The sequence below is a fragment of the Homo sapiens genome, chromosome 4 (genome assembly GCF_000001405.40).
Source record: "Homo sapiens chromosome 4, GRCh38.p14 Primary Assembly".
NCBI lineage: Eukaryota > Metazoa > Chordata > Mammalia > Primates > Hominidae > Homo > Homo sapiens.
Window position 1 is genome coordinate 119,061,248 of NC_000004.12, and position 8,238 is coordinate 119,069,485.

General features: G+C 40.7%; 1 annotated feature.

Moving 5' to 3' along the window:
• Nucleotides 6,767-7,583: an enhancer, noted in NCBI's record as "NANOG-H3K27ac-H3K4me1 hESC enhancer chr4:119989169-119989985 (GRCh37/hg19 assembly coordinates)". NCBI's record gives its function as "activates a minimal SCP1, AML or CMV promoter by ChIP-STARR-seq in primed H9 embryonic stem cells {active_cell/tissue: H9 hESC(primed)}" and the evidence as "EXISTENCE:reporter gene assay evidence [ECO:0000049][PMID:30033119]".

Sequence of the window (8,238 nt, forward strand, 5' to 3'; positions counted from 1 at the left end):
GTTTAGGAGCCTCTTCATTTTTTTCTTATAAAATTGTTCTGAATTACTCTTTACTACAAAGATTTACTCCTATCTACCACATATTTTTCCATTTTATTTTCTGTGATAGCTTCTATACACATCAAAATAATTTCATGCTAAATGGGGCAACATTTTAACTGTAACATTTAAAAACTTTTTTAAAAATTCCTGAAAATACAATTAATTTCACGTGTAAGTTAAGAATTTTAGGATCCAAACATATTTTAATACTATTTTTAACTAATTCTTTCCTTCATAGTATATTGAAAATCAGTCTTAAGCACAAGCATAGCCAATGGTAACATGACTTGACAACATGTTGGTTGAATGCCTACAACCACTCTGGGCTCTGTCTCTAATCTTCCGTGTTTGTCTACCCAGTCCTTCCAATTACTTGTCCTCTTTTGACTGGTCCAAGACTGACCTGTGTTAAACTGAAGCCCTCATTACAATAAGGCATATTTAAGCAAAACTTTTTAAAAAGTGACTTTGGCTCTTTCTACACAATATTAAAACTATCAGCTGAAATGTGAACTCCCTGGTCAATTGGTGTCATATAGCACACCCTTCAAACACTTTTTTTTCCTGGTAATTTCAAAATAAAATGGCATTCTGATGAAAAATATATATTTTTTCTTTTATTATTATTATACCTTAAGATTTAGGGTACATGTGCACAATGTGCAGGTTAGTTACATATGTATACATGTGCCATGCTGGTGTGCTGCACCCATTAACACGTCATTTAGCATTAGGTATATCTCCTAATACTATCCCTCCCCACTCCCCCCACCCCACAACAGTCCCCGGAGTGTGATGTTCCCCTTCCTGTGTCCATGTGTTCTCATTGTTCAATTCCCACCTATGAGTGAGAATATGCGGTGTTTGGTTTTTTGTTCTTGCGATAGTTTACTGAGAATGATGATTTCCAATTTCATCCCTGTCCTTACAAAGGACATGAACTCATCATTTTTTATGGCTGCATAGTATTCCATGGTGTATATGTGCCACATTTTCTTAATCCAGTCTGTCATTGTTGGACATTTGGGTTGGTTCCAAGTCTTTGCTATTGTGAATAGAGCCACAGTAAACATACGTGTGCATGTGTCTTTATAGCAGCATGATTTATACTCCTTTGGGTATATACCCAGTAATGGGATGGCTAGGTCAAATGGTATTTCTAGTTCTAGATCCCTGAGGAATTGCCACACTGACTTCCACAATGGTTGAACTAGTTTACAGTCCCACCAACAGTGTAAAAGTGTTCCTATTTCTCCACATCCTCTCCAGCACCTGTTGTTTCCTGACATTTAATGATTGCCATTCTAACTGGTGTGAGATGGTATCTCATTGTGGTTTTGATTTGCATTTCTCTGATGGCCAGTGGTGGTGAGCATTTTTTCATGTGTTTTTTGGCTGCATAAATGTCTTCTTTTGAGAAGTGTCTGCTCATATCCTTCACCCACTTTTTGATGGGGTTGTTTGTTTTCTTCTTGTAAATTTGTTTGAGTTCATTGTAGATTCTGGATATTAGCCCTTTGTCAGATGAGTAGGTTGCGAAAATTTTCTTCCATTTTGTAGGTTGCCTGTTCACTCTGATGGTAGTTTCTTTTGCTGTGCAGAAGCTCTTTAGTTTAATTAGATCCCATTTGTCAATTATGGCTTTTGTTGCCATTGCTTTTGGTGTTTTAGACATGAAGTCCTTGCCCATGCCTATGTCCTGAATGGTAATGCCTAGGTTTTCTTCTAGGGTTTTTATGGTTTTATGTCTAACATGTAAGTCTTTACTCCATCTTGAATTAATTTTCATATAAGGTGTAAGGAAGGGATCCAGTTTCAGCTTTCTACATATGGCTAGCCAGTTTTCCCAGCAACATTTATTAAATAGGGAATCCTTTCCCCATTGCTTGTTTTTCTCAGGTTTGTCAAAGATCACATAGTTGTAGATATGCGGCGTTATTTCTGAGGGCTCTGTTCTATTCCATTGGTCTATATCTCTGTTTTGGTACCAGTACCATGCTGTTTTGGTTACTGTAGCCTTGTAGTATAGTTTGAAGTCAGGTAGCGTGATGCCTCCAGCTTTGTTCTTTTGGCTTAGGATTGACTTGGTGATGCGGGCTCTTTTTTGGTGCCATATGAACTTTCAAGTAGTTTTTTCCAATTCTGTGAAGAAAGTCATTGGTAGCTTGATGCGGATGGCATTGAATCTATAAATTACCTTGGGCAGTATGGCCATTTTCACAATATTGATTCTTCCTACCCATGAGCATGGAATGTTCTTCCATTTGTTTGTATCCTCTTTTATTTCATTGAGCAGTGGTTTGTAGTTCTCCTTGAAGAGGTCCTTCACGTCCCTTGTAAGGTGGATTCCTAGGTATTTTATTCTCTTTGAAGCAATTGTGAATGGGAGTTCACTCATGATTTGGCTCTCTGTTTGTCTGTTACTGGTGTATAAGAATGCTTGTGATTTTTGTACATTGACTTTGTATCCTGAGACTTTGCTGAAATTGCTTATCAGCTTAAGGAGATTTTGGGCTGAGACAATAGGGTTTTCTAGATATACAATCATGTCATCTGCAAACAGGGACAATTTGACTTCCTCTTTTCCTAACTGAATACCCTTTATTTCCTTCTCCTGCCTAATTGCCCTGGCCAGAAATTCCAACACTATGTTGAGTAGGAGTGGTGAGAGAGGGCATCCCTGTCTTGTGCTAGTTTTCAAAGGGAATGCTTCCAGTTTTTGCCCATTCAGTATGATATTGGCTGTGGGTTTGTCATAGATAGCTCTTATTATTTCGAGATACATCCCATCAATACCTAATATATTGACAGTTTTTAGCATGAAGGGTTGTTGAATTTTTTCAAAGATCTTTTCTTCATCTATTGAGATAATGATGTGGTTTTTGTCTTTGGTTCTGTTTATATGCTGGATTACATTTATTGATTTGCGTATGTTGAACCAGTCTTGCATCCCAGGGATGAAGCCCACTTGATCATGGTGGATAAGCTTTTTGATGTGCTGCTGGATTTGGTTTGCCAGTATTTTATTGAGGATTTTTGCATCAATGTTCATCAAAGATATTGGTCTAAAATTCTCTTTTTTTGTTGTGTCTCTGCCAGGCTTTGGTATCAGAATGATGCTGGCCTCATAAAATGAGTTAGGGAGGATTCCCTCTTTTTCTATTGATTGGAATAGTTTCAGAAGGAATGGTACCAGTTCCTCCTTGTACCTCTGGTAGAATTTGGCTGTGAATCCACCTGGCCCTGGACTCTTTTTGGTTGGTAAGCTATTGATTATTGCCACAATTTCAGAGCCTGTTATTGGTGTATTCAGAGATTCAACTTCTTCCTGGTTTAGTCTTGGGAGAGCGTATGTGTTGAGGAATTTATCCATTTCTTCTAGATTTTCTAGTGGTTATTTGCGTAGAGGTGTTTGTAGTATTCTCTGATGGTAGTTTGTATTCCTGTGGGATCGGTGGTGATATCCCCTTTATCATTTTTTATAGCGTCTATTTGATTCTTCTCTCTTTTTTTCTTTATTAGTCTTGCTAGCGGTCTGTCAATTTTGTTGATCCTTTCAAAAAGCAGCTCCTGGATTCATTAATTTTTTGAAGGGTTTTTTGTGTCTCTATTTCCTTCAGTTCTGCTCGGATTTTAGTTATTTCTTGCCGTCTGCTAGCTTTTGAATGTGTTTGTTCTTGCTTTTCTAGTTCTTTGAATTGTGATGTTAGGGTGTCAATTTTGGATCTTTCCTGCTTTCTCTTGTGGGCATTTAGTGCTATAAATTTCCCTCTACACACTGCTTTGAATGTGTCCCAGAGATTCTGGTACGTTCTGTCTTTGTTCTCATTGGTTTCAAAGAAGATCTTTGTTTCTGCCTTCATTTTGTTATGTACCCAGTAGTCATTCAGGAGCGGGTTGTTCAGTTTCCATGTATTTGAGCAGTTTTGAGTGCGTTTCTTAATCCTGAGGTCTAGTTTGATTGCACTGTGGTCTGAGAGACAGTTGGTTATAATTTCTGTTCTTTTACATTTGCTGAGGAGAGCTTTACTTCCAACTATGTGGTCAATTTTGGAATAGGTGTGGTGTGGTGCTGAAAAAAATGTATATTCTGTTGATTTGGGGTGGAGAGTTCTGTAGATGTCTATTAGGTCTGCTTGGTGCAGAGCTGAGTTCAATTCCTGGGTATCCTTGTTAACTTTCTGTCTCGTTGATCTGTCTAATGTTGACAGTGGGGTGTTAAACTCTCCCATTATTATTATGTGGGAGTCTAAGTCTCTTTGTAGGTCACTCAGGACTTGCTTTATGAATCTCGGTGCTCCTGTATTGGGTGCATATATATTTAGGATAGTTAGCTATTCTTGTTGAATTGATCCCTTTACAATTATGTAATGGCCTTCTTTGTCTCTTTTGATCTTTGTTGGTTTAAAGTCTGTTTTATCAGAGACTAGGATTGCAACCCCTGCTTTTTTTGTTTTCCATTTGCTTGGTAGATCTTCCTCCATCCCTTTATTTTGAGCCTATGTGTGTCTCTGCACATGAGATGGATTTCCTGAATAAGCACACTGATGGGTCTTGACTCTTTATCCAATTTGTCAGTCTGTGTCTTTTAATTGGAGCATTTAGCCCATTTACATTTAAGGTTAATATTGTTATGTGTGAATTTGATCCCGTCATTATGATGTTAGCTGGTTATTTTGCTCGTTAGTTGATGCAGTTTCTTCCTAGCCTTGATGGTCTTTACAATTTGGCATGATTTTGCAGTGGCTGGTACCGGTTGTTCCTTTCCGTGTTTAGTGCTTCCTTCAGGAGCTCTTGTAGGGCAGGCGTGGTGGTGACAAAATCTCTCAGTATTTGCTTGTCTGTAAAGTATTTTATTTCTCCTTCACTTAGGAAGCTTAGTTTGGCTGGATATGAAATTCTGGGTTGAAAATTATTTTCTTTAAGCATGTTGAATACTGGCCCCCACTCTCTTCTGGCTTGTAGAGTTTCTGCAGAGAGATCCGCTGTTAATCTGATGGGCTTCCCTTTGTGGGTAACCCCACCTTTCTCTCTGGCTGCCCTTAACATTTTTTCCTTCATTTCAACTTTGGTGAATCTGACAATTATGTGTCTTGGAGTTGCTCTTCTCGAGGAGTATCTTTGTGGTGTTCTCTGTATTTCCTGAAACTGAATGTTGGCTTGCCTTGCTAGATTGGGGCAGTTCTCCTGGATAATATCCTGCAGAGTGTTTTCCAACTTGGTTCCATTCTCCCCGTCACTTTCAGGTACACCAATCAGACGTAGATTTGGTCTTTTCACATAGTTCCATATTTCTTGGAGGCTTTGTTCGTTTCTTTTTATTCTTTTTTCTCTGAACTTCCCTTCTTGCTTCATTTCATTCATTTCATCTTCCATCACTGATACCCTTTCTTCCAGTTGATTGCTTCGGCTCCTGAGGCTTCTGCATTCCTCACGTAGTTCTCGAGCCTTGGCTTTCAGCTCCATCAGCTCCTTTAAGCACTTCTCTGCATTGGTTATTCTAGTTATACATTTGTCTAAATTTTTTTCAAAGTTTTTAACTTCTTTGCCTTTGGTCTGAATTTCCTCCTGTAGCTCGGAGTAGTTTGATCGTCTGAAGCCTTCTTCTCTCAACTCGTCAAAGTCATTCTCCATCCAGCTTTGTTCCGTTGCTGGTGAGGAACTGCGTTCCTTTGGAGGAGGAGAGGCACTCTGCTTTTTAGAGTTTCCAGTTTTTCTGCTCTGTTTTTTCCCCATCTTTGTGGTTTTATCTACTTTTGGTCCTTGATGATGGTGATGTACAGTTGGGTTTTTGGTGTGGATGTCCTTTCTGTTTGTTAGTTTTCCTTCTAACAGACAGGACCCTCAGCTGCAGGTCTGTTGGAGTTTGCTAGAGGTCCACTCCAGACCCTGTTTGCCTGGGTACCCGCAGTGGTGGCTGCAGAACAGCAGATTTTCGTGAACCGCGAATGCTGCTGTCTGATCATTCCTCGGGAAGTTTTGTCTCAGAGAAGTACCCGGCCGGCCGTGTGAGGTGTCAGTCTGCCCCTACTCGGGGGTGCCTCCCAGTCAGGCTGCTCGGGGGTCAGGGGTCAGGGACCCACTTGAGGAGGCAGTCTGCCCGTTCTCAGATCTCCGGCTGCATGCTGGGAGAACCACTGCTCTCTTCAAAGCTGTCAGATAGGGACATTTAAGTCTGCAGAGGTTACTGCTGTCTTTTTGTTTGTCTGTGCCCTGCCCCCAGAGGTGGAGCCTACAGAGGCAGGCAGGCCTCCTTGAGCTGTGGTGGGCTCCACCCAGTTCGAGCTTCCCTGCTGCTTTGTTTACCTAAGCAAGCCTGGGCAATGGCAGGCGCCCCTCCCCCAGACTCACTGCCGCCTTGCAGTTTGATCTCAGACTGCTGTGCTAGCAATCAGCGAGACTCCGTGGGCGTAGGACCCTCCCAGCCAGGTGTGGGATATAGTCTCCTGGTGTGCCTTTTTTTAAGCCGGTCAGAAAAGTGCAGTATTAGGGTGAGAGTGACCCGATTTTCCAGGTGCCGTCTGTGGCCCCTTTCTTTGACTAGGAAAGGGAACTCCCTGATCCCTTGCACTTCCCGAGTGAGGTAATGCCTCGCCCTGCTTTGGCTGGCACACGGTGCGCTGCACCCACTGTCCTGTGCCCACTGTCTGGCACTCCCTAGTGAGATGAACTCGGTACCTCAGATGGAAATGCAGAAATCACCCGTCTTCTGCGTTGCTCACGCTGGGAGCTGTAGACCAGAGCTGTTCCCATTCGGCCATCTTGGCTCCACCTATCACATATGTGTCAAAAAATATTTTTTTAAAGGCTGGTACTTGAAAACTTTACTTTAAGAATGAGGCTGGGTGCGTGGCTCACACCTGTAATTCTAGCACTTTGGGAGGCCGAGGTGGGTGGATCACTTGAGGTCAGGAATTCAAGACCAGCCTGGCCAACATGGTGAAACCCCCTCTCTATTAAAAACATAAAAATTAGCCAGGCATGGTGGTGTGCACCTGTAATCCCAGCTATTCAGGAGGCTGAGGCACAAAAATCACTTGAACCCAGGAGGTAGAGATTGCAGTGAACCAAGGTCGCACCACTGCCCTCCAGACTGCGGTAGAGTGAGATTCTGTTGAAAAAACAAAAGAAAAAGAACGAAGAGTGTTTTAAACATTTAAATGAGTTAAGAGTACTAGACTACCTTAAAATGCTAATGCTATATAAAGAGCCTGTTTTTTCTAAGGAATCCTAGTGCTTACTAAACAATAAACTTCAAAACATACTGAGAGGTAGGTGGTGTCATCTGCATACAGCGCCAACAGGCAGCCCGAGGCAAGGAGAGTTCAATTCCCTTGCTTGTCTCCCAGGAAGACAGCAACAGAAATACCTGAAGATTAGTCAGTGTTTCCCTAGTCCACATAATAACAGAAGCATTTAGCACAAAATGCTCCTTCTCTGCAATTTTGGAAAATCACAAGATCTGTGACTTCTCAAATTTAACAGAACAGTACTTACCATGAAGTGGCGTTTCATTTTTTATAGCCCTATAAAACATGACAGTTTATATTTTTAGAAAGGATCTGGCAATTTCCTCCCTCCCCCAATAAAAATCAAGTAATTTTATGAAGGGCATTTAAGGAGGAAATGCCTCCAATGTATCTTGCTCTGATACACTTTTTCTCTCTCTAAAGTTGTAGTAAAGATTTGCTATATTGTACTTTTCTTCTTCTTGACTTTTCTGTCCCCCTTCTCCATAAACTTTACTCCCACCACTGTCCAAGAGGAAAAAGCTTCACTGACTCCTCAAAATGTCACAGTTTATTTGTCTTACTGAGAGTCTGAAGAGGCTTTATAAAATAAGGCAGTATTGTCTCATCATGATCATTTGAATAAGCATGAGGTTTGCTCTAAATTACCAAACAAAGTATAACAGGTTATATGTAAGGAAAGGCACAATCTTATTTTAGGCTAAATTCCCCCTGAAGAAGCTTGTCTATAGTACTATGAACATATAGAGATAGAGATAGGATTTCCTGCTTAGTCTTTTCTTTCTTTCTTTTTTTTTTTTGGATGTGGGCAAACCTCATTTTAATTGCAAAAGACTTAATTTACAGCACATTCAATAATGAACCAACAGGAGAGTTGCTGACTTTGGAACATATGAATATATAAAAATTCCTTGCAATTCAGGTAGTCAAGATAAAAAGTGCATAC